Source organism: Homo sapiens, chromosome 22 (genome assembly GCF_000001405.40).
Source record: "Homo sapiens chromosome 22, GRCh38.p14 Primary Assembly".
In the NCBI taxonomy this organism is placed as follows: Eukaryota; Metazoa; Chordata; class Mammalia; order Primates; family Hominidae; genus Homo; species Homo sapiens.
The window spans coordinates 18,599,076-18,625,227 of NC_000022.11; the positions used below are offsets into that span (position 1 = coordinate 18,599,076).

Below are 26,152 nucleotides of genomic sequence, written 5' to 3' on the forward strand. Positions count from 1 at the left end.
TAGCTGGGACTACAGGCACGCGCCACCACGCCCAGCTAATTTTTGTATTTTTAGTAGAGACAGGGTTTCACCATATTGGCCAAGCTGGTCTGGAACTCCTAACCTTGTGATCCACCCGCCTCGGCCTCCCAAAGTGCTGGAACTATAGGTGTGAGCCACTGCACCCGGCCAAAAAATATGTTTTTTAAAATAATAGAGATGAGGCCGGGTGTGGTGGCTCACACCTGTAATCTCAGCACTTTGGGAGGCCAAGGTGGGTGGATCACTTGAGGTCAGGAGTTCGAGACCAGTCTGGGCAACATGGTGAAACCCTGCCTCTACTAAAAATACAAACCTGAGCTGGGCATGGTGACGCATGCCTCTAGTTCCAGCTACTCGAGAGGCTGAAGCAAGAGAATCGCTTGAACCCGGGAGGCGGAGACTGCAGTGAGCCAAGATAGCACCACTGCACTCCAGCCTGGGAGACAGAGCAAGACCCTGTCTCAAAAAATAAAATAAATAAAATAAAATAAAATAAAATAAAATAAAATAAAATAAAATAAAATAAAATAAAAAATAAAATAAAATAAAATAAAATAAAATAAATAAAATAGATGAAGGCCAGGTGCAGTGGCTCACGCCTGTAATCCCAACACTTTGGGAGGCCAAGGCAGGCAGATCACCTGAGTTCAGGAGTTAGAGAGCATCCTGGCCAACATGGTGAAACCCTGTCTGTACTAAAAATACAAAAAAATTAGCCAGGCATTGTGGCGGGCGGCCAATAATCCTGGCTACTTGGGAGGCTGAGGCAGGAGAATCACTTGAACCTGGGAGGCGGAGGTTGCAGTGAGCCAAGATGGTACTACTGCACTCCAGCCTGGGTGACAGAGCAAGACTCTGTCTCAAAATAATAATAATAGGCCGGGCACGGTGGCTCACACCTGTAATCCCAGCACTTTGGGAGGCCGAGGCGGGCAGATCACAAGGTCAGGAGATCGAGACCATACTGGCTAACATGGTGAAACCCTGTCTCTACTAAAAATACAAAAAATTAGCCGGGTGTGCTGGTGGGCGCCTGTAGTCCCAGCTACTTGGGAGGCTGAGGCAGGACAATGGCGTGAACCCGGTAGGCGGAGCTTGCAGTGAGCCAAGATCGTGCCATTGCACTCCAGCCTGGGCGACAGAGCGAAACTCCACCTCAAAAAATAATAATAAAATAAAATAAAAATAAAAATAATAATAATAGAGATGAGGTTTTGCCATGTTACCCATGCTGGTCTCCAACTCCTTGGCTCAAGTGATCCATCCACCTTGGCCTTCCAAAGTGCTGGAACTACAGGCTTGTGCCACCACCCTGGCCTTAAACAATTATTCATGAAAGGAAGGAAATTCTGACACATGCTGCAACATGGATGAAGCTCAAGGACATTATGCTAAGGGAAGGAAGCCAAAGACCTGCCAGCCGAGGTCCCAGTCCGTCAAGGGCTCCAGTGAGCGAGCAGGATTGAGCAGGTCCCTGGGCTGAGCAGTGGGAACTCTGCTTTGCTGTGAGTGTGGCACGGGTGGCGGCAGACTGTGGAGTGCAGGCTCTGTGGAGCAACTGGACACTCTGTTGAACGAAGTGCAAGGTGGTAGGTTTTTGCTTTTTTTTTTTTTTCTGAGACAGAGTCTCACTCTGTCTCCTAGGCTGGAGTGCAGTGGCATGATCTCGACTCATTGCAACCTCTGCCTCCCGGGTTCAAGCAATTCTCTGCCTCAGCCTCCTGAGTAGCTGGGATTACAGGCGCGAGCCACCACACCCAGATAATTTTTAAAATATTTTTGGAAGAGACGGGGTTTTACCATCTTGGCCAGGCTGGTCTCGAACTCCTGACCTCGTGATCCACCTGCTTCAGCCTCCCAAAGTGCTGGGATTACAGGCATGAGCCACCGCGCCCGGCCACAAGGTGGTAGTCTTTCTCAAGGACGCTGGGGCAACCCCATTGCGTCTTCACCAACACCCTGGTACAGATCCTGCAGCTGCAGTCTACCCCGCATACAACATGTTCAATGATCCCTAGCTAGACAAGGCATTGAAAACTATTCCATAGGCCGGGTGCAGTGGCTCCTACCTGAAATCCCAGCAGTTTTGGAGCAAGGCGGGTAGATCATCTGAGGTCAGGAGTTCGAGACCAGTCTGGCCAACATAGCGAAACACCGTCTCTTCTAAAATACAAAAAATTAGCTGGGTATGGTGGTGCATGCCTGTAATCCCAGCTACTTGGGAGGCTGAGACATGAGAATCACTTGCACCAGGAGGCGGAGGTTGCAATGAGCCGAGATCACACTACTGTACTCCAGCTTGGGTGACAGAGTGAGACTCTGTCTCAAAAAAAAAGAAAAAAAAAATTAGCTGGGCATGGTGGCATGCACCTGCAGGCCCAGCTACTCAGGAGGCTGAGGCAGGAGAATCGCTTGAACCCAGGAGGCTGCAGTGAGCCAAGATCGAACCACTGCACCACAGCCTGAGTGACAGAGTGAGACTCCATCTCAAAACAACAACAACAACAAAAATCAACTATTCCTTGGGAGGCAGAGGCAGGAGGATGGCTTCAGGCCAGGAGTTGGAGCCAAGCTAGGCAACATAGCGAGAATTCCTCATCTCTACACACACACACACACACACACACACACACACACACACATTAATTAGCTGGGTGTGGTGGCACATGCCTCCAGATACTCAGGAGGCTGAGCGGGAAGGATGGTTTGAGCCCTGGAGGTTGAGGCTGCAGTGAGCCATGATCACGCCATGACAGAATGAGGACCAGGTGGAAGAACTGAAAACGCTGGGGATCCACACATCCGCTCCATCCTTTCAGATGGAAAGAAATACCAAGACTCAAAAAAATGAGGGTGCCCAGGTCCTCACTGAGCAGAGACTCACTGCTAAAAAAAAGCCTTACCTATTTGGGTTTTCACTAGTAAGCAGTTGGTTTGTAAGCAGTTGGTGATTTTAGTTTGTCTGGGTTTCAGCCATGAATATTCTATTGTAAACTTAATTATAACAACTGCACTGTAATAATTCAATGTCCTATTATGATGTTGTTATAGACAAAATTTGCCTTTACATTGTCATTTATTTTATTTTATTTTTCTTTTGAGACAGGGTCTCACTCTGTCACCCAGGCTGGAGTGCAGTAGCTCAATCTTGGCTCACTGAAACCACTGCTTCCCAGGCTCAAGCGATTCTCCCACCTCACCTTCTCGAGTAGTTGGGACCATAGGTGTGAACCACCATATCAGGCCAATTTTTGTATTTTTAGTAGATACGGGGTTTCAACATGTTGCCCAGGCTGGTCTTGAATTCCTGTGCTCAAGCGATCCACTTGCCTCGCCTCCCAAAGTGCTGAGATTACAAGTATGAGCCATTGACATTTAATCTTCCTTCCTTCCTTCTTTCCTTCCTTCCTTCCTTCCTTCCTTTTCTTTTTTTGAGATGGAGTCTCGCTCTGTCGCCCAGGCTGGAGTGCAGTGGCACGATCTCGGCTCACTGCAAGCTCCACCTCCTGGGTTCAAGCATTTCTCCTGCCTCAGCCTCCGGAGTAGCTGGGACTATAGGCGCAGGCCACCATGCCCAGTGATTTTTTATTTTTATTTTTTTTGAGACGGAGTCTCACTCTGTCACCAGCCTGGAGTGCAGTGGCGCATTCTTGGCTCACTGCAACCTCCACCTCCAGGGTTCAAGCAATTCTCTGTTTCAGCCTCCCGAGTAGCTGGGATTACAGGCACCCACCACCACACCCAGCTAATTTTTGTATTTTTAGTAGGGATGGGGTTTCACCATGTTGGTCAGGCTGGTCTTGAACTCCTGACCTCGTGATCCACCAACCTCGGCCTCCCAAAGTTCTGGGATTACAGGCGTGAGCCACCGCACCTGGCCTACTTTTTTAAACTTAAATTTTAAAAAAAATTAAGTTTATTTTTAATGTGATTTATTTATTTATTTATTTTTTAGATGGAGTCTTTCTCTGTCGCCCAGGCTGGGGTGCAGTGGCACTATCTTGGCTCACTGCAACCTCTGCCTCCCGGGTTCAAGTGATTCTTCTGCTTAGCCTCCCAAGTAGCTGGGGCTACAGGTGCATGTCACCACGTCCAGCTAATTTTTTTGTATTTTTAGTAGAGACAGTGTTTCACTGTATTGGTCAGGCTGGTCTTGAACTCCTGACCTTGTGATCCGCCTGCCTCAGCCTCCCAAAGTGCTGGGATTACAGGTGTGAGCCATGGCACCCGGCCTATTTATTTATTTATTTTTTAATTTTTTTTGAGACGGAGTCTCGCTCTGTCACCCAGGCTGGAGTGCAGTGGTGCAGTCTCGGCTCACTGCAAGCTCCACCTCCCGGGTTCATGCCATTCTCCTGCCTCAGCCTCCCGAGTAGCTGGGACTACAGGCGCCCGCCACCACGCCCAGCTAATTTTTTTGTATTTTTAGTAGAGATGGGGTTTCACCGTGTTAGCCAGGATGGTCTCGATCTCCTGACCTCGTGATCTGCCCACCTTGGCCTCCCAAAGTGCTGGGATTACAGGCGTGAGCCACCGCGCCCGGCCTCTTTCAATCATTTCTGATGACACCGGAGAAGGCAGTGTCCTTTCCTTATTGTCTCTTTTTTTTTTTTTACCTGGGTATTCTGGAAGTGTCTTTCCTCTGACAGTGTTGTTGGACGTGGGGAAACAAAAGGGTATCAAAGAGAGGGAGAGAAGGATAAAGACCACCCCTCATTCCCGCCCTCCCAGAGGGGCAGCCTGGGGAGTCTATGGAGGAGGTGACTTTGAGCCATGATGTGACCTTAGATGAGGGGCCTCTCTGAGCCTCAGGAAGCTCTTCTGCAAAATGGGGCAAATAAAGAAATGCCCTCTGTGTGCAGTGGCTCAGGCCTGTAATCCCAGCACTTCGGGAGGCCAAGGCAGGAGAATCACTTGAGCGCAGGAGTTCCAGACCAGCCTGGGCAACATAGTGGGACCCCATCTCTACCAAAAAATTTAAAAATTAGCCAGGCATCAGGTGTGGTGGCTCAGGCCTGTAATCCCAGCACTTTGGGAGGTTGAGGCAGGCAGATTGCTTGAGCCCAGGAGTTTGAGACCAGCCTGGGCAACACAGTGAGACCCCTGCTTCTACACACACACCAAATTAGCCAGGTGTGGTGGTGCACATCTGTAGTCCCAGCTACTTGGGAGGCTGAGGTGAGAGAATCATTTGAGCCCTGAAGCTCAAGACTACAGTGAGCTGTGATTGTGCCACTGCCCTCCAGCCTGGGCAACAGACCAAGACTCTGTCTCAAAAAAAGGAAAGGTCCAGGCGCGGTGGCTCATGCTTGTAATCCCAGCACTTTGGGAGGCTGAGGTGGGCGGATCATGAGGTCAGGAGATTGAGACCATCCTAGCTAACACAGTGAAACCCCGTCTCTAGTAAAAATACAAAAAATTAGCCAGGCGTGGTGGCGGGCGCCTGTAGTCCCAGCTACTCAGGAGGCTGAGGCAGGAGAATGGCGTGAACCCGGGAGGCAGAGCTTGCAGTGAACTGAGATTGCACCACTGCACTCCAGCCTGGGCAACAGAGCAAGACTCCATCTCAAAAAAAAAAAAAAAAAAAAGTGGAAAAGAAGGCCGGACGCAGTGGCTCACGCCTGTAATCCCAGCACTTTGGGAGGCTGAGGCGGGCAGATCACGAGGTCAGGAGTTTGAGACTAGTCTGGCCAACATAGTGAAACACTGTCTCTACTAAAAATACAAAAAATTAGCCAGGTGTAGTGGTGTGCACCTGTAATCCCAGCTACTCGGGAGGCTAAGGCAGGATAATTGTGTGAACCCGGGAGACAGAGGTTGTGGTGAGCCGAGATTGTGCCATTGCACTCCAGCCTGGGTGACAGTGCGAGACTCTGTCTCCAAATAAAAAAAAAAAAGGAAAAGAAATTCCATCCCAAGGTGATCCCTCACAGGAAGTGACTCAGAAAAGCAGTGAGCTACGAAAGCTATCTGAATGAAGCAAGATCGTCATGTGGGAGACACTGACTACCCACTCCTAGCAAAGGGCTCAGCAGCACACGGCCTCCCTGCGGGGATGCCCTCGGGGAAGATGTGGCCCAGAGGAGTTTTTTGGGCCTTGCTCCTCAGTCCTGGCTCTTAGTAGGACCCTCTGCAGCCAAACTAGCATATCCTGAGCCAGGCTGACCTTAAAAAGTAAGCATTCAGGGCCTAGGGACCTTGGGCAAAGCAGAGAAGCTGGTGTCAGATGAGGTGCAGCAGGTACAGTAGGATAAGGTGTTCTCAGGTCGCCAGTGCAGCCCCAAGATGAGCCTGCAGTATTTTCCTTACATGATCTGGTCCTACTGTGGGCAGCGCTGCTGCCCAGAGCCTGAGAGGATTATGAAAACATGGCAACGGAAGTGAGGCCAGGGGACACAGCATGGGGGCATGAGGAGCAGGGGACAGCGGGTGGGGCTAGAGGAGAGGGAGGTTTAGGGAGGCCTCTGCTGCTGTGACTGTGAGCCCCAGCCAATGATGACGTGGCCACCGCACAATCTGAGTTCTGGGAACCATGTGATGGAATGTGTTCTGGGAATAGACTGCAGCCAGGAAAAAAAAAGCAGAAGGGTGCACCCTCCCTTCCTCAGCCAGGAAAACATTTCTGTAGCCCTTGCGGACCCAATGCGCAGAAGTGAGAGGGAGGAAAGCCAGGCTCATGTTTCCTTGGTTGTGCTTCAACTTCTAAAATATGTTTTTTCTATGAACATTTTAATGAGGGGTTGGACATAAGACAGAAAAATAACATTCTGAGAGCTCGTTTGGAGGTTCTAGCAGGGGAGCGCAGCTACTCTTATACTCTTGACTGAAGACCGATCGTCCTCTATCGGGGATGGTCATCCTCTTCCATTGAGCACACAGCTTCTGGAGGGACGCACATGGAGTGGTGAGGGAGGAAGGGGATACCCGCCTAGTCAGCCAGATCAGCCGAATCAACCCTGATGATCAATGGGGTGACACATGTCGCAGCCAGATCACCCTCACATCCCAAAAATAACACTCAGATTGCTTTTTCTTTTTTAAGATGTAGACTTTTCTTGAGACTTTCGTACAAGGCAATGGACAGATAACCTTAACCTCCCAGAGAAAACACACATTGGCCACAGAAAAAGGCGCTTCTCCGTATACCTGCCATAGTTATCAGCAACTTTGAAATGGCTTCTCAGACTCTCAGGGGTTGGCTTGTTGTGTTTGCTTTTGCAAATAACTCAGGCTTAAGTCCTGCTACTTTCAGAGCCTAGGGGACGCTTAAGGACTACCATCAGTTTAACACAGTGGCACTTGGAGCACATGCTACTTATGGTGGTGAGGAGGGGTGCTGGTGTGAGGGTCTGAACGCTTGCTTCTCCTCTGGCAGGGTGTGAGCAGCCAGAGGCCACTACCTGGGCAAGGATGCTTGCTCAGTGTCCATGGAGGGACATGTGATCCAGCAGGTGGGCAGGAACCAGGCCCCTGTGGCCGCCCAACTCTCCATAATAGAATCCTTGGTCATCCATGGGCCCGTAAACCATGACCACGTCTCCTGCCCTCAGCGCCAGCCTGCCCTTCCCCTGGCCCCCCATTTGCCCATCCCCAGGATCATAGTCCAGAGCTGCTATCATGATCTTTGGAGTCCACAGTGGGAGTCTCTTGGAGTTCCCCTGGAGCACCAGGGAGGAACCCTGGGGGATGGTGAGCCCCTGAAAGTCCTCGAGGTGGGCCACAGAAGGCAGGTTCCCTTGGGCCGGAGAACGCCACCTCCTATCAGTCTGCTCTGTCCCCACCTCCATCTCAGCCACTAGGCGCCCGGGGATATTGCCCACTTGCCTGTTGCACTCGCTGAGGTAGAAATCATGGGTGTCCTGAGAGCCCCACACTCTTAGCAACTGCCTTTTCTGGAAGACCAGCTCCTCCTCTGCAGCCTTGAGGTTGGCAGACATCACCAGGGGGTTGTAATCAGAGAGGGCCACAAAGACCCTGGCTGGAGTGTTGGCCCCCGTCCCCAGCTGTTGGGGGCCACCCCTGGGCATCTTGATGACTTTGGCGGATGGAGCTGGACACAGTGCCGAGCTGGGCTCATGGAGCTGGCACCCTCTCTTCACCCCCAGAGCTTGTCCTTGCCTGCTGTGGGGCTCAGGCTCCCTCCTCTCCTCTCGCCTCTCTGTGCCCCACAGATCCAAGCACAGTGCCTCCTGCTCCTCCTTCAAAACGTTATGGAAGTCAGATGCATACTGTTGGCTGGCGCCCAGCTGGGGAGGTGTGAACCCTTGGGCATCTTGCTTTTGCCGAAGTACCCTCTCAAGGGCAGCCTTTTCCTGACACGGTTCTTTCCTGGGCCCACACTCGGTGCGTAGATGGATGAATCCTGGAGCAGGGCTTTTGCTGGTGCCCATGTGCTGGGAGCAATTTTCCTTCTCCCCAGGCTGGTCACTGACTGAAGGTGGCCTGTGGTTCTGGGGACTCTTCTGAAAGAGCAGGTCCTTTCTACAGCCCTCCCAGGCCTCTGCAAGCTCCTGGGCTTGGCTGCCAGCCCCTGAACTCGGACATTCTCCTTCTGAGCCCAGGTTGGACACTGGGGATTGCCTCCTTGGGGGTTCTTCAAAGAATGCTTCTAGGAACTTGGCCTGGGGCTCCCCGCAGCTTCCAGGGTTGTGGGGGCTGGCCTTGGCACTCGGAGGAGCCAGTGACAGCTTCTGGGGGCAGACGGGGAAGGTGACTCTGTAGGTGGATGGGTCGCCACAAGTGTAGCTAAAGGGTGGAGTCTCTGGCCATCGGTGACACATGAAGAAGTCCTCGGGGATCTGAGCAGGCACTGAATCCAGGGACTCACCACAGAGTGACATGGTTCTCACTGAGACCTTCTGCCACGTGAGGGGCACCTGTAGCTGGGAGAATTCCAATAGGGTGCTCCCAGCAGTGGCATCGGCGACCTCACAAACCTTAAGCCCATCTGCATACACAGCATAACCGGTGACCTGGACTCCATTGGAGGACCCAGCTGAGTCAATGGTCACAGGGAGCCAGCTGACCACCAGGACACCTGGCGAGGCATGGCGCTCCACCAGCACATCCAGCGGTGGGTAGGGAGGTCCTGCCAAGAGTGTGTCGAAGGTGACGGTGGAGGACATAGTTCCCCAATACACCTGCAGCAAGTCCCGTGGCAGCCGCACCTCCACCCGCGCCCGGTAGTGCGTGCCGGGGCACAGGCCCTGGAAGGTGTAGCAGCTCACGCCCGCTGGGGTCAGGGCATGCTCTCGGTCATCAAGATATACCACATGGGGGTGGCGGTGGCTGCTGTAGACCCAGGTGATGTTGGCTGATGTGGCTGTGACATTCTGCAGGTGTAGCTGCATGGGAGCCATACGGAGCACCCCTTTGGTCCCCAGAAGGGGTCTGGAGAGGCCCTGCTTCCCCATGCTCTGCAGCAAGCCCAGCTGGCAGGCTTCCGTCTTGGTATCCAGGATCTCTGTTGCTACTTCTGTCTTGGAGCCCACCCTGACCATCTGGCACAGCCCTCTGTCCACCACTCCCTGGGCTTTCCCAGATAATAAGCTGTCTTCCTCCAGAGCTTCATCCTGCCCCGCTGGGAGTTGACTGGGGCCAAGATCAGGGGATTTGGCAGGCAGGCAGCCTGGGATGTAGCTGTCCGGAATCTGCTCCACGAAGTTGGAGGGCACCAGCCCCCGCCGGCCATCCTCAAGCTCCCCCTCATAGAAGCCATCCTCATCCATGTCCCCGAAGATATATATGTAGTCCCCAGCTGTGAGGGGCAGCTCACCCTCAGGGTGATCATTGGGCCCCTCAAATGGGTTGTAGTTATACTGAGCCATGAAGATCTTGAGCTTGGGGGCAGCAGGAGCCGCCGAGCCCCCCATTTCCAGGGCCAGGGACACGCTGTCAGGCTCCAGGTCATCCACCTCACTGGCTGTGTCCCTGTCCAGAGTAGGGGAGGACGGCACGGTGGCCCACATCGACCCCTCAGAGGAGGAGTTTGACTGGGAGCTGGTTTTCTTGGACAGAGGTTGGCTGGCAGGGACTGTCTCTGAAACTTGGGGGACACTGGCTGACTCCCCAAGGGCAACTGGGCTCTCCTCGAGGGAGGCTTCCCTTTTCTCCTGTATGTCTCTGTTGGGCTGTGACACTGCGTAGTCTTCAGGCCGTGCGTGGAACTTGGGCCTTCTGCTACCTTTAACTTGGGACTCCGGCATTTGACTGGTCTCCCAGGGCTGTTCAGGAGGGTGACCAGGCCGACACTGGAGCGCCTGTATCTCCTTCCAGGAAGGATGGAGGTCACACAGGGCCTTCTGCGGGTCGCGTTGCAGCTGCTGCTGCCTGTCCTGCCCGCGCGCCGCCTGCTGCAGCAGCTGTTCGGCGATCAAGCCGGAGGCATCGCGCTCTTGACACGCGCGGCCCAGGTGGCCGCGCACTTCGCTATTCTCAGCCTCCACCTTCCGCACCCAGTCGGTCTTGGCCTGCAGCCGCCCATTCTCCTCCGCCAGCCAGGCGTTTTTGAGCAGCGCCGCCTGCAGCTGTGTCTCGGCCTCCTCGCCACGTCGCCGCGCCGGGGCCGCCTGCGCGCCCAGCTCCTGGCACTCGCGCCGCCGCTGGTCCAGCTCGCGCTCCAGCGCCAGCATCTGCCGTCGCACCTCCTCGCAGGTTGCGCTCTGGCCGCCCGCCTCGGGCCAAGCGCCACCGTTGCCCTGCTGAAGCATCAACTGCCTCTGCAGGCGCAGCACTTCCCGCTGGGACTCGCGCTGCAGGCGGTCTAAGTCTCTGACGTTGAGCCACTGGGTGCAGGGGCCGCCCCTTCCAGTATGCAGGTCGCTGCAGGGACCCGAGGCGACACGCGCCTGCAGGAGGTGGCACTCCTGCCGCAGCTCTTCGATCTGCTTGTCCTTGGCCAGCGGCGCGCTCGCCTGCTCCGACAGGTCCCGAGCGCGCTGGCGGGCAAAGACTTGGCACAGCTCCAGGCCGGCGCAACTCTCGCCGGGTATAGGCGCGCTCACGGCCCGGAGGTTGGTCTCCTGCAGCTTGCGGGCGCGGTCAGCTAGGCGCCGCGCGAGCCCGGTCAGCTCCGCGCGCTTTACCTTGAGCCGCTTCACCTTCTCGTCTGCCTGGTAGGGGCAGCCTGCACGCCGCAGCTGCTTGTTCTCCGCTTGCAGGGTATAACAGCGGCGCGCCAGCACCCACAACGCCTTGGCCAGCAGCCAGTTCAGCTTTATCAGCTCGTGGTGGCCCAGGCCCGGGGGTGAGGGAGTCAGGACTTCGCAGGGCTGGCTCTCAGAGCCTTCTCCTCCCCGCGGGTTGCTGAGTTTCCTGTGGGCTGACGGTGGTGGTGGCGGCGGGAGTGGCGATGGTGGCGGCGAGAGCCTCCGGGAGCCAGGGGTGGAGGTGTCTGGTGAGGAGGGCCGCTCCTCGGATTTGGAGGCCTTGGGGAGGCTCCGGGTGCTGTCAAGCGAGCGGGAACACGCAGGTGCGAAGCAATCAAGGGAGCTGGCGTGCGTGGAGAGCAGGCCGTCTGGGGAGCTGGAGCACGCAGAGGACACCAGGCCTAGCGAGCGGGAGCGCACACCGACTTCAGCACTCAGGCTGTCTAGAGATCCGAGTTGGCAGGCGGGTTTGGGGGCGTGGCAAGAGCCGCTGGAGGTCTGGGGCAGCGGTTCTTCCAAGGAATGCACAGCTTGGGGGTCCGGTGATCCCGACAAAGCCGGGTGCCCGCGGAAGTGCGCCAGGATGTACTTGAGGAAGAGCTGGCGCTCCACCTCCAGCGCCGCCTGCAGATAGCGGATGCGCGCCGCCTGCTCGCCGTCAGTCTGCCAGCGAAGCTGCGCCAACACTTCCTGCAGGCGACAGCGGCACTGCGCCGCGGAAACCTCGGACGCCCCCGGGCGGCTACAGTGGCCGCGGTTCACCAGCTCCTCGGCCAGCTGGCGCTGCAGCTCCCGGGCTTGGCGCACCACGCCATCGCGCTCCCGGTGCAGCAGCTGCTGCAGCTGCCGCTGCTCGGCCTCCTTCCAGCGCAGCAGCTGCCGGATCTCGGCCTCGCGTTCCCGCTGCATCTCCTCTTGCAGCTGCCGCAACTCCCGGCTGCGCTGTGCCTCCCACTTGGAGCGCAGACGGTCAGCCAGCTGTCGCCGCTCCCGCTCGGCCTCCTCACGCAGCTGGCGCTCCCGGGCAGCGAAGCGCCGCCGTTCCGCCCGCCAGCCTGCCCGCTCCGCCTCCAGCTCCGCCCGTAGCTTCTCCAGCTCCCGCCTCTGGTTCTCCAGCACTGCCGCCGCCGGGCTGGAGCAGCCCGGCTTCTTGGGCGACGCGCCCAAGGGGCTGGGCGAGTCCTTGGCCATTGCGGCCGCGGCCCGGCTGGTCTCCAGACTTCGCCTGGCAGGCCTCAGCTCGCCAACGGCCGCCGCCGACCGCCCGGCGCGCCCCTTCCGGCGCCCCCTGGGGGTCTCCGCGTGCCCCTTCCGCCTCTTGGCATGTTCCCCCGCCTCCTGCCGCGGATGTCTGGCCCAGGCGCCTCTCCACCTGGCAAGGCCAGGGCTGGACTCCCACACCCCTGCTCAAACTGGCCCATGTCCCTTCCAGGATGCACGGGGGCTTTTCCGGTCCCTACACTTTTCCTGCTTCTAGCACCAAGTCCCTTGTGACCCTCCCCAGGCACCCTCCCAGGCACTGTGCAGTCCCAAGCAGGCCGCGGTGCCCCGAGGGAAGTCTGGGCTGCTGCTCCTGTACTTGGAGAAAGGGGCAGGGTGTGTGTGTTAAGGCCACCCATGGGGTGTGGGCATACCTGGTCGTGGGTTCAGGTGGTGTATTTGGGTCAGGTGGCTGGAAAATGCAGCAGGATAGGCCTCAACTTGGCTAGACCTGGACTCCCCAGGACCCTTCAGCCCCCTAACAGCCCTGATCACCCAACTGGTCATCCACCTTTTGAGGAAAGGATGTGCCTGATACACATTTGTGTTACTGCGCAGAGTCGGCTCAGAGGAGGTGTAAGCGAAAAGACCCTCCCCAGCAAGGTGGCATAGGGACCCAGGGCCAGATAGGCATGAGGGGCACTGCCCAAACTGGCCATCTGGCCTGTCTACCTCCCACATCCAGGTACCACCTGGTGACAAACACTGGAGCCCCAGTGTCTGGGCTACTCATTGGCATCTTAGGTAGAGGCCTCAGGATGGGCCAGGAGTGAGGGTGAGGCTTCAGCAGAAATGTTGGAGGCATCCTGAGCTGCAGAAGAAACACACACACACACACACACACACACACACACACACACACAGCTGCAGAAGAAACATACACACACACACATACTGAGCTGAAGGAATACACACATACACTGAGCTGCAGAAGAAACATACATACACACACTGAACTGAAGAAATACACACACACACACACACACACACACACACTGCCTCTCTGACTGGTGGCCACCTGTGTGGCTTGGGAGCTAAGAAGCCCTGCTTCAGTCTGGCTCCTCTTTGCCCTTCCTGTCTGCTCCTGGTGCCAAGTGGCTTTTGGGAGACATGGATGGACACCTGATACCTGGCAGTCTGCATCGAGACATTGATTTTTTTTTTTTTGAGATGGGGCCCCACTCTGTCGCCAGGCTGGAGTGCAGTGGCGCAATCTTGGCTCATTGCAACCTCTACCTTCCACGTTCAAGAGATTCTCCTGCCTCAGCCTCCCAAGTAGCTGGGATTACAGGCTTGAGCCACCATGCCCAGCTAATTTTTTGTACTTTTTAGTAGAGACAGGGTTTCAGTATGTTGGCCAGGATGGTCTTGAACTTCTGACCTCAAGTGATCCACCCGCCTCGGCCTCTTAAAGTGCTGCGATTACAGGCATGAGCCACTGTGCCCGACAAGACCTTGATATTGAAGTCACATCAGAGGCCCCTTTGCTTCTTGGTCTGTCGTGTCTCCCTGTCCCCAGGAAGCACCTGGGACCTCTCACAACTGCTGTGTTCACTCAGCTTATGGCCCTCCTTTACAACACTCAAGTTTTTCAAATCAGTTTCCCCGGAACCCACAGAACATGCCTTTAGGCAGTGTCAAGTAACAAGAACATCGGGAATTATGGCTCCAGATGTTCTTTTTTTTTTTTTTTTTTTTGAGATGGAGTCTCGCTCTGTCGCCCAGGCTGGAATGCAGTGGCGCAATCTCTGCTCACTGCAAGCTCCGCCTCCTGAGTTCACGCCATTCTCCTGCCTCAGCCTCTCAAGTAGCTGGGACTACAGGTGCCCGCCACCATGCCTGGCTAATTTTTTTTGTATTTTCAGTAGAGATGGTCTCGATCTCCTGACCTTGTGATCTGCCCGCCTCAGCCTCACAAAGTGCTGGGATTACAGGCGTGAGTCACGGCGCATGGCCCTTTATTTTATTTTATTTTATTTTATTTTATTTTATTTTATTTTATTTGTGAGACAGAGTTTTGCTCTGTCACCAGGCTGGCATGCAGTGGCACGATTTCGGCTCACTGCAACCTCCAACTCCCTCGTTCAAGTGATTCTCCTGCCTCAGCCTCCTGAGTAGCTGGGATTACAGGCATGCGCCACCACGCCCAGCTAATTTTTGTATTTTTAATAGAGACAGGGTTTCATCATGTTGGCCAGGATGATTTCGATCTCCTGACCTTGTGATCCGCCCACTTTGGCCTCCCAAAATGGTGGGATTACAGGCGTGAGCCACCGTGCCCAGCCCAGATGTTCTTTATGAGAGGTGAGGCAGATGTAGTGTGTATGTGAGAGGAAGGGGAGGTGAGATGCAGGGATGGCCTTAGCCTTGAACTGGTGCTGGGCTCCTGGGCATGGTAGCCACAGGGAGGACTATCTTGAGAGAATCTTCATCACAGCCCTGTTTTACGGAAGAGAACCTGAGGCTCAGTGAGAGCCACTGGCTTGCCAGGGCACATGGGCAACTGAGGCAGAGCTGGTGGGTGGGGTTTCACAGCCTGGATGCCCTGCTGCAGTCTCCAGTAGGGCCTCAACTGTCAGGTCAGGAGGGCAGGCTGGGCCGGGCATGGTGGCACAGACCTGTAATCCCAGCCCTTTGGGTGACCAGGGTGGGAGGATCACTTGAGCCCAGGAACTCAAGACCTGCCTGAGCATCATAGAGAGACCCTGTCTCTACAAAAAAAATTTTAGCTGGGCGTGCTGGTGCATGCCTGTAGTGCCAGCTACCCAGGAGGCTGAGATGGGAGGGTCACTTAAGCCCGGGAGTTTGAGACTAGCCTGGGCAACAGAGTGAGCGAGACCCAGTCTGCATTTCCAGCTGAGATGAAATGATTGCTTGAGCCTGCAAGGTGAGGTCAAAGTCGCAGTGAGCTGTGATGGCACCACTGCACTCCAGCCTGGGCAACAGAGCAAGACTGTCTCAAAAAAAAAAAAAAAAAAAAAAAGCCTGGTGCGGTGGCTCACTCCTGTAATCCCAGCACTTTGGGAGGCCAAGGCAGGCGTATCACGAGGTCAGGAGATAGAGTCCATCCTGGCTAACATGGTGAAACCCCGTCTCTACTAAAAATACAAAAAATTAGCCATTAGCCAGGCGTGGTGGCGGGCACCTGTAGTCTCACTTATTTGGGAGGCCGAGGCAGGAGAATGACATGAACTCAGGAGGTGGAGCTTGCAGTGGGCCGAGATCCCGCCACTGCACTCCAGCCTGGGCGACAGAGCGAGACTCCATCTCAAAAATAAAAATTAAAATTAAAATTAAAAAAAGAGAGTAGGCTGTCACCAAGAAAAAGGACACTGGGGTGGATGGGTCTCTGGGAACCCCACAGTTACCATCCAGCAGCTGCCCCAAAGTATGTCAAAAGCATTCGGGAATGTTGGTTGAGTGGATGAGCAAAGCCAGGCTTCCCCAGGGCTGGGTTTCTGCCATCCCTGTTCTCATCATGTTGTGCAGTGATTGTCCAGTGACCTGCCTGTCACCCCCATCAACTCTGATCTTGGGGAGAGCAGAAGCCATGTTTTCCCTTGTCCCTATTGCATCCGTGCATGTGACTTAGCACATCACTGGTGCCCAAGACATATGAGAATGAGTTGCAGGGAGGCAGGAGTCCCTGCATGAGCTCACCATGCTGCTGCCTTCTCCAGGTTCAACTTTCTCACCTATTAAATGAAAGAGATGGTTTCTTTTTTTTTTCTTTGAGATGGAGTCTCACTCTGTCACCCAGGCTGGAGTGCAGTGGCATGATCTCGGCTCACTGCAATCTTCACCTCCTGGGTTCACGTGATTCTCCTGCCTCAGCCTCTCAAATAGCTGGGATTACAAACACCTGCCACCATGCCTAGCTGATTTTCATAGTTTTAGTAGAGACAAGGTTTCGCCATGTTGGCCAGGCTGGTCTTGAACTCCTGACCTCAAGTGATCCACAGGCCTCAGCCTCCCAAAGTGCTGGGATTACAGGCATGAGCCACCATGCCCAGCCTGAAAGTGGTGGTTTCAAACTGGGTTCTTTAGGGCTCCAGGGTTCCTTGGAAATATAGAACTGCTGGGCACACACCTATACTCCCAGCTACTTGGGAGGCTGAGGCAGGAGGCTTGCTTGGATCCAGGACTTCTGGATTGTAATGTACTATACTGATGGGGTGTCTGCACTAAACTTGGCATAAATTGGTGACTTCCTGGGAGCAGGAAACCACCAGCTTGTCTAAGGAGAGGTGAACTGGCCCAGGTTAGAAAAGGAGCAGGTTGGCCGGGCTCGGTGGCTCATGCCTGTAATCCCAGCACTTTGGGAGGCCAAGGTGGGCAGGTCACCTGAGGTCAGGAGTTCGGGACCCGCCTGGCTAACATGGTGAAAACCCGTCTCTACTAAAAATGCAAAAATTAGCTAGGCATTGTGGCGCATGCATGCCTAATCCCAGCTACGCGGCAGGCTGAGGCAGGAGAATTGCTTGAATCTGGGAGGTGGAGGTTGCAGCAAGCTGAGATTGCACCACTGCACTCCAGCCTGGGCGATAGAGTGAGATTCCATCTCAAAAAAAAAAAAAAAAAAAAAAGAAAGAAAGAAAAAGGAAAACGAAAAGGAGCAGGTCAAAACTCCTGTGCTGGCTGGGCGCAGTGGCTCACGCCTGTAATCCCAGCACTTTGGGCAGTTCAAGACCAGCCTGACCAATATAGTGAAACCCCATCTCTACTAAAAATACAAAAAATTAGCTGGGTGTGGTGGCAGGCGCCTGTAGACTCAGCTTCTCGGGAGGCTGAGGCAGGAGAATCGCTTGAACCCGCGAGGCAGAGGTTGCAGTGAGCCAAGATCATGCCATTGCACTCTAGCCTGGGTGACAGTGCAAGACTCCATCTCAAAAAAAAAAAAAATTTTTTTTTTTGTAGGCTGGGCGCCGTGACTCATGCCTGTAATCCCAGCACTTTAGGAGGCCAAGGTGGGTGGATCACTTGAGATCAGGAGTTCAAGACCAGCCTGGCCAACATGGTGAAACCCTGTCTCTACTAAAAATACAAAAATTAGCTGGGCATGGTGGCAGGTGCCTGTAATCCCAGCTACTCGGGAGGCCGAGGCAGGAGAATTGCTTGAACCCAGGAGGTGGAGGTTGCAGTGAGCTGAGATCACGCCATTGTACTCCAGCCTGGGCAACAGAGTGAGAGTCTGAGTCAAAAAAAAAAGAAAAAAAATTAACAACAGGCCAGATGTGACGGCTCATGCCTGTAATCCCACCACTATGGGAGGCTGAGACGGGCAGATCACTTGAGCTCAGGAGTTCAAGACCAGCCTAGACAACACGGCAAGGCTGCATCTCTATAAAAAAATTACAAAATTTAGCCTGGCATGGTGGTGCACGCCTGTAGTCCCAGCTATTTGGGAGGCTGAGATGGAAGGATACCTTGAGCCTGGGAGGCAGAGGTTACAGTGGACTGAGATTGTGCCACTCCACTTCCACCTGGACGAGAGAGCCAGTCCCTGTTTCAAACAACCAAAAAAACAAAAAACCCACCCCCCCAAAATAAAAACAATAATAATAATAAAAATAAATAAAACAGAAATACCATAGGCCTTTTGGGAGGAGGTATGCAGGAAGCGGATGGGGAGAGACAGTGCCCCTACTTGCTTCAATGGGCAGATCTACTCTTTTTTTTTGAGACGGAGTCTCGCTCTGTCACCCAGGCTGGAGTGCAGTGGTGCAATCTTGGCTCACTGCAACCTCCGCCTCACGGGTTTATGCCATTCTCCTGCCTCAGCCTCCCGAGTAGCTGGGACTACAGGCGCCCGCCACCGAGCCCGGCTAATTTTTGTATTTTTTAGTAGAGATGGGGTTTCACCATGCCAGCCAAGATGGTCTCGATCTCCTGACCTCGTGATCCACCCTCTTCGGCCTTCCAAAGTGCTGGGATTACAGGTGTGAGCCACAGCACCCGGCCGGCAGATCTACTCTTAAGTGTCACTTATCAGATTCGAAGAAGGGTTTTGGTTTAATAAAGCGTTATGCTCCTTGAAACAAGTTTCAGAACCCCTGGGTTAGAGGACCTCTTGCCCATTGTGTGCTCACACACACACGACACACACATACCCCATCCCAGTACGTAATGACTTCCCTGACCCGGAGAGAAGGCGATATGTCCCCCTTACATCTCAGTTGGCTCCACATCGCCAGCTCTGTATTCCACTTTCCCTCTCTCTACAACCCCAGTCTATGACTTTTGGGCCATGGAGTCTGGGTTCCTGGGCAACCTGGTTCACATCCTTCTCCTGCCGGCATGGCCTGGCTCCATTTCTGTTCGGCTACCAAAGCCCCAAGCTTTGTGGAGCCTGCCTGGCCTTGAGGAGGGGAATGGGCTCCATCCTGAGAGCCTGCAGGAGGGTTTAAGCTTCCCATCCCCCATTGCTACAGTAGCTCCCCCAGCTTTTCATTCCATATCCTTTATTTTTATTTATTAAAAACTTAATTTTTGGCCGGGCGCGGTGGCTCACGCCTGTAATCCCAGCACTTTGGGAGGCCGAGGCAGGCGGATCACGAGGTCAGGAGATCGAGACCATCCTGGCTAACACGGTGAAACCCCGTCTCTACTAAAAATACAAAAAATAGCCAGGCGTGGTGGCGGGCGCCTGTAGTCCCAGCTACTTGGGAGGCTGAGGGAGGAGAATGGCGTGAACCCGGGAGGCAGAGCTTGCAGTGAGCCAAGATAGCACCACTGCACTCCAGCCTGGCGACAAAGTGAGACTCCGTCTCAAAAAAAAAAAAAAACAAAAAACACTTAATTTTTTTTTTTGTAGAGACAGGGTCTCCCTATGTTGCCTGGGCTGGTCTCAAACTCTTAATCTCGAGTGATCCTCCCACCTCAGCCTCCCAGAGGGATGGGATTACAGGCATGAGCCACCATACCCAGCCACATATTTTTTATTTTTGTTTCTATGTGTTTTCTGTCTGTTCTTTGCTGTCTCCTCCATGTCTAGAACAGTGCCTGGCACATGATAGGTGCTCAGTAAATACAGGACTGAAGAAGACAGAGGCAGACAGGCCAGATGTGGCTGCTGTCCTTAGGGAATTGACAGTCCATGATCTATGAGAATGAGCTGCAGACTGGGAGGCAGGTGTCCCAGCATGGGCTCACCAAGCTCCTACCCTCTCCCGGTCCAGCTTTCTCACCTATGAAATAAAAGTGAAGCTGGACATGGTGGCCCACGCCTCTAATCTCAGCAGTTTGGGAGGCCAAGGTGGGTGGATCACTTGAGATCAGGAGATTGAGACCAGCCTGGCTAACATGGTGAAACCCCATCTCTACTAAAAAACACAAAAATTAGCCGGGCGTGGTGGCAGTTGCCTGTAATCCCAGCTACTCGGGAGGCTGAGGCAGGAGAATTGCTTTAACCTAGGAAGTGGAGGTTACAGTGAGCTGAGGTTGTGCCACTGCACTCCAGCCTGGGTGACAGAGCAAGACTCTGTCTCAAAATAAATAAATAAATAAACAAACAAACAATAAATGAAAGTGATGGATTACATGAATGGTTTTCAAACTGGGTTCCTCAGGGCTCAGTTTGGGGGAGAATGCAAAGGTTAAATACAAACAACAATGGAATGTAGTAACATTGGCGCTTGGGCGAGTGCTCTGGGTGAGGAATGTGGTGCTCATGGGGAGAAGAGCCGCATCAGAGCAGGCTTCCTGCATGAGGCAAGGAGGAAACACAAGAGCTGAGAGCTGAAGGAGAGGGAGTGAGGGCTGCCAGAGGAGCTGGGAGGCGATTTCAGGCAGTGGGAACTGGAGCTGCAAACCCCCAGCCTCCTGCAGTCTGGCTATCTGTACCAGCCCTCACCCATGCCCACCACCCTCAGGGCACTCACATCCCTTCTTGCACTGATATTTTCCCGTCCTATCATGACCCTCGTTTGAGGGTGCAGGGAGGACTGGAGCTCAGAGAGGGAGGGTCACCTGGCCAGACCCTAACCCGCTGAGTTCCAGTGGAGTTCCTTCCATCCCCCAGCACTGGATGGGGCTGGATACCTGGAGAGGGACCGTGCTGCTCTTCCTGGGCCCTGCAGCCTGCCTGGCTGGTCCACATCTTCCTGGGCCAGGAGGGCAGTATGGTGCGAGCTTCTAGCTCTCTGGCTGGGGCCCCCTGGCCTACTGGGCTGGCTTCCTGCCCTGGTGGCCCTGGCCCAGCTCCCCAGCTCATGTGCCTCTGCAGCGAGTGGTCAGCCCCTTCCCATCTGCACTTTACAAGCCTCATCGCTGAATCCTCCCCATAGCCAGAGAGCCTGGCACTCTCCTCTCCAGAGAAGGAAACTGTCCAGGGTCACACAGGGACTTATGGGCAGGTCTGTGTGACCTGAGTCTGGGCTCTGAACTGGTGCTTGCAGGGTCTTGCCCTCTGGCTCTGGCAGCCTGAGTGTTACTGTAATCCCTGAGCCTTTGAACAAGCAGGCACTGCTTCCTGAGATCCCCATTGCTGCTGTCAGCGTCTCTGTTTCCCAGCTCCACACTGCTGCCAGGACAGACGTATCTTCTGTCTTGTAGCATCTCCATTTCTCTTCCCTTTAGATCTATTTTTTTTTTTTTGAGATGGAGTCTCGTTCTATCATCCAGGCTGGAGTGCAGTGGCACAATCTTGGCTCACTGTAACTTCTGTCTCCTGGATTCAAGCGATTCTTCTGCCTCAGCCTTCCAAGTAGCTGGGATTACAGGTGCATGCCACCACGCCTGGCTAATTTTTGTATTTTTAGCAGAGACGAGGTTTCACCACGTTGGCCAGGCTGGTCTCAAACTCCTGACCTCAGGTGATCTGCCCACCTCAGCCTCCCAAAGTGCTGAGATTACAGGCATGAGCCACCGCTCCCGGGCTGGATCTATTTCAATCACCCTCCTTCCTCTGCAGCCTGAAACTTGAGGCTTTGCCCACTTCCCAAAGGCACGAGTAGCAATGACCATTTGTTCTGTCATTTGGCCATAGCTCTAGGTCAGAGGACAGTCCTTCATCAAATGTTTGTTAAGCATGCAATCTAGACAGGGGAGGACAAGGGCCAAGTAATGTGTTAATTTCTTCATTCACTAAGCACAGAGAATGGAGTAGAAGGAAGGTGGAAAGGAGAAGGAAGGAAAAGAGAGAAGAAGGAGGATAGAAAGGAAGGAAGGTGGGAGGGAGAAAGGAAAGAAAGAGGGAGTCCTTTAGGTTATCTAAGTCCCCTCAGGACTTGGTCTGGCCCTCACAGTTCAAGAACAGACTTGGGCTTGAGCCTCTGACCAGCCAGATGACTGAGAAGCTGAGGAACAGCTTGAGCCTCAGTTTTTTCCTCTGTAAATGGGGTTGATAGCAGTTCTGACCCAGCGGGCTGTTGGGGGAGTCACAGAGATGCTGGGTGCTGCCTTTGCACTCAGAAGGGTCCAGGCTAGGTGTGGTGGCTAACACCTGTAATCCCAGTACTTTGGGAGGCTGAGGTGGGAGAATTTCTTGAGTCCATGAGTTACAGACCAGCCTGGGTAATATAGAGACAAACTGTCTCTATAAATTTTTTTCCCAAAAATTAGCCAGGCATGGAGGTGTGCACCTGTAGTTCTAGCTGCTTGAGAGTCTGAAGTGGGAGGATAACTTGAGTACAGGAGGTTGAGGCTGCACTGAGCCATGATCACACCACTATACTCCAGCCTGGGTGACAGAGCCAGACCCTATCTCAAAAAAAAAAAAAAAAAAAAAATCAAAGGGGTCCAGCAGCATCTTCCTGTCAGCTTACCTAAGGGAGCATGATAAATTGAGTCCCTGCCACGATGGACATGGGGAGTGTAGTGGGAGGGAATGGCAAAGGCACCACAGGCAGAGGGAACAGCCTGGGCATAGTGGGGGGTGTGATGTGGCACAGCACTGATTGTGGGAAGCGAGGGATGTGGGAGATGAGGCTTCAGGTAGTCAGAGGGAGGTTGAGGCAAAGCCTCACCTGCATGCTCTAGATGAGGTCCAATTCCTGGTACCCAGCTCCTAGCCTAGTAATGGGCCACTTCTCCCAGGGCCACAGTTTTCTCTCCTATCAAATGGAACATGTTAGCACTGCTCTATGGTGCCAATGAAGGGTATAAGTGTCCAGTGCCCATTTCCTGCCCCAGCAAAGGCACTTTCTTTTCCTTGTCCTCTTGCCTACTGGGGAACTCCTTCCATCCCTGGTTCCTCCCCCAGCTTCTGCGAGGCCCCTCCTCTGAGCCCCCACACCTCATCAAACCCTCAACACCGTCTGGTGTTTTCCTTGGTGCCTCTTCAAGATGCTGTGAGCTCCTTGGGGGCAGGTGGTGCCTGTGTACCTCTTTTTTTTTTCTTTTTTTTTTTTTTTTGAGACGGAGTCTCGCTCTGTCACCCAGGCTGGAATGCAGTGGCGCGATCTCGGCTCACTGAAAGCTCCACCTCCCGGGTTCACGCCATTCTCCTGCCTCAGTCTCCTGAGTAGCTGGTACTACAGGGGCCCGCCACTGCGCCCGGCTAATTTTTTCTTTTTTTCTTTTTTTTTTTTTTTGAGACGGAGTCTCGCTCTGTCTCCCAGGCTGGAGTGCAGTGGCACAATCTCCGCTCACTGCAAACTCCGCCTCCCGGGTTCACGCCATTCTCCTGCCTCAGCCTCCCGAGTAGCTGGGACCACAAGCACCCGCCACCACGCCCAGCTAATTTTTTGTGTTTTTAGTAGAGACGGGGTTTCACCGTGTTAGCCAGGATGGTCTCGATCTCCTGACCTCATGATCTGCCTGCCTCGGCCTCCCAAAGTGCTAGGATTACAGGCGTGAGCCACCACGCCTGGCCTTTTTTTTTTTTTTGTATTTTTAGTAGAGATGGGCTTTCCCTGTGGTCTTGATCTCCTGACCTCGTGATCCACCTGCCTCGGCCTCCCAAGGTGCTGGGATTACAGGCGTGAGCCACTGCGCCTGGCCCTGTGTATCTGTTTTTCTGGACCGCCATCATGTTCAGGAAGGCATCGAATATTTTGTCCGCGACTGCAATCACACACTGCATCATCCCTGAAACGAGGTTTCCACGGATAAGGTGCAGCAACAGAGAGAGAATCCTAGCAACTTTCAATCATTTTCTTTTGAAATGGTTTTAGACTTACAGAGAGTGGCAAAGACAGCACAGAGCTCCCATATACCCTTCACCTAGCTTCCCTGGATTTTAACATCTGCAGTAACCAGGCTGATGTGTCAAAACTGAGTCAGATATTGATATAATCCTATTACCTAAACTTCAGACTTCGTCTGGATTTCCCAGGTCTCCCACACATGCCCCGCTTCTGTTCCAGCATCCAACCCAGGACACCAGGTGGCATTTAATCTCTGTGTCTCCTACTCCCTTCCAATATGTGGTGACTCCCCAGTCTGTCAATGTCTTTTGTGACTTTGACACTTTTGAAGAACAGTTATTTTGTTGAATGTCCCCTAATTTAGGTTTGTCTGATGCTTGCCCATGATAAGACTAGGGTTACAGGATTTGAGGGAGAACTCCATAGAGTGGATGTGCCCTTTCTTTTTTTCTTTATCATTTTTTTGAGATTGAAACTCGCTCTGTCGCCCAGGCTGGAGTGCGGTGGCACGATCTTGGCTCACTGCAACCTCTGCCTCCTGGGTTCACGCCATTCTCCTGCCTCAGCCTCCTGAGCAGCTGAGACTACAGGCGCCCGCCACCACGCCCGGCTAATTTTTTGTATTTTTAGTAGAGACTGGGTTTCACCACATTGGCCAGGATGGTCTTGATCTCCTGACATCATCGTGATCCGCCCGCCTTGGCCTCCCAAAGTGCTGGGATTACAGGCGTGAGCCACCGTAACCAGCCTGCCCTGCGTAATTTTTGTTGTCGATGATCCAAAGTGCACCCACTCGCCATCTCTGGTAGCTGGGAGGAGCAGGTTTTTGGGTGAAGGTGAAAGAGCCGGAGTTGGGGATGTGTGTGGCTGGGGGGTACAGGTGCGACCACTTTGCAGTCCACTCCTGTGAGTAGGGCATTCCTGAGGGAGAGAAGGCCTGGTTAGCCCTGGGGCTCCTTCAAGGCCTGGCCCCAGGCCTTGATACCTAGAGCAGCCTGACACATGTGTGGATGGACTGCCAGGCGGTCCCCTTAGGAGGGGCTGTTCTAGCAGGGACCCTGGCTTGGGTGACCACCACCTCCTGCCACACTCCAGGATCCCTGTCCCTGCTGGAAGCCGGGCCCAGGGCCATGCCAGCCGTGAGGGGTTCCTCATGAGCCTCCTCCCCGGGACCCAGGCCCCATGCAGCTGCCCCCTCCCACCTGCCTGACCCCCCTGGCCTGCACTTCCCTCCATCCGAATCCTCAATCTCCGCCTGGAATTCCCTTCCCTCCTCAACCCCACCTGGAAACTCTCCTCCTCCTCCCACACAGCTGGGACTCCCTTTCTCCCACCTCTGGGGGCCCAAAGCTCTGGATGCCACCCTAGCCCTCAGCTGGCCTCACCTGTCTCCTCATAGCCCCACAGCTTGATGGTGTCTGTGTGGGCAGCGCCTCAACGTGCCAGGTCAGGCTGAGGTTGCCTGAGGTGTTGGCGGTGCCGTAGTATTGCCAATGCATCTCGTTCATCAACTCACTCTTCTCCTTCATCAACACTTTGTTGGGGTGCACTGGGCAGGGGAGGTGAGGGGTGAGTGAGGGCTGGGCCCAGGGAAGCAGGGAGGAGGCCCTGAGGCTTCAAGGGCTGTGGGAGCCTCCAGGGCCAATGCATGGCAGCAGCTGGGTGATGGTCTCTCCGGCCCTCATGGCAGAAAAGGACGCTGAGGCCGGAGAGGCAGGGGCCTGCCCTCCCTCCACTGCCCACGCCTCTAGCCTCCACCTGGCTTCTCCCCTGCCCTGGTGTGGCGGAGCTCAGTGGATAGGCACTGGCCCACCTCTCTAGGGACCCCTGCAGCTCCCACTCACTCTGGGCTGGGACCGTGGTCTGGATGCCAGGGAGTGGAAAGGAGCTGAAGGAACTCTCGCAGGCGGGCAGGCCTCCCAAGGGATTGGTTCAGCCAGAGAGGCAGGACACGGACGGGCCAAGTCTCGGTGTGCATAGATTAGCGCTGGGGAAAGTCCCCGTGGGGGCAGGCTGTGGGCAGGGAGGAGGGCTCACCAGCCAGCCAAGTGCCCGCACGAGGGAAGGAGTGGCCATCGTCCAGTGAGATGGTGAAGGGGACGTGGCCGCTCTCATAGAGCAGGGGCGACACGAAGTGCACTTGCCCGGAGGAGTCCACATGGCCGAGGGTCTGGATGCTCTCCTGTGGCATGCAAACCTGTGGGCCTGGTGGTGGTAGGAGGTGCTGGGCCACTGCAGGCTGAGCATCTCGACAGTCTGGGCCCCCAACCTCCCTGGGGAACCCATCCAACCAGCTGTCCTGTGCCCTCCTGCCTGTCCTGGGTCTGAGGGGCTCCATTCAGCCTGCCAGTGGGTCTGAGCCCTCAGCATGCACAGGGATGGGGGCGTGGGGCCCCAGTGCCCGGCCTCCTGGGCCTCCCAACCTGCAGATCACACTGGTGTCTGTGGGGCTGGACATCTTGAAGTGCCGCACCACAAAGTCCTTGCCGCCCATCATGGAGACTGAGTAGGGCAATATCTCCAGGCAGAAGTCCTGGAAATCCAAGCAGCAGGTACCAAGGCCGGAGCACGTCGGGTGGCAGGAACATGGCCTGTCCAGGGCGCCACAGCGCATGGAGCAGCTCTCTTGGGCATCTG

At 54.5% G+C, this 26,152-nt stretch overlaps 1 protein-coding gene, 2 non-coding genes and 2 pseudogenes across 3 annotated transcripts, besides 1 other annotated feature; 2 read left to right on the forward strand and 3 right to left on the reverse strand.

Annotated features, from left to right (window-relative positions):
- The first annotated feature begins 6,279 nt into the window (after positions 1-6,279).
- On the forward strand, positions 6,280-6,422 carry LOC124905174 (small Cajal body-specific RNA 17). Its single transcript, XR_007068178.1, has one exon.
- An 85-nt stretch (positions 6,423-6,507) lies between these two features.
- LOC124900482 (small Cajal body-specific RNA 18) lies at positions 6,508-6,590 on the forward strand. Its single transcript, XR_007068172.1, has one exon.
- Positions 6,740-12,844, reverse strand: RIMBP3 (RIMS binding protein 3). Its single transcript, NM_015672.2, has one exon. It carries the CDS (start codon positions 12,357-12,359, stop codon positions 7,440-7,442), a length of 4,920 nt encoding a protein of 1,639 aa, NP_056487.1. The 5' UTR covers positions 12,360-12,844; the 3' UTR covers positions 6,740-7,439.
- RN7SKP131 (RN7SK pseudogene 131) lies at positions 6,790-7,027 on the reverse strand (annotated as a pseudogene).
- Positions 9,078-9,278: a silencer, noted in NCBI's record as "peak4455 fragment used in MPRA reporter construct". NCBI's record gives its function as "represses an SCP1 promoter by STARR-seq MPRAs in K562 erythroleukemia cells {active_cell/tissue: K562}" and the evidence as "EXISTENCE:reporter gene assay evidence [ECO:0000049][PMID:32103011]".
- On the reverse strand, positions 24,264-26,152 carry SUSD2P2 (sushi domain containing 2 pseudogene 2; annotated as a pseudogene).

Coding starts and splice junctions, on each gene's coding strand:
- RIMBP3 (NM_015672.2), bottom strand. CDS start 12,359: ATGGCCAAGGACTCGCCCAGCCCCTTGGGCGCGTCGCCCAAGAAGCCG.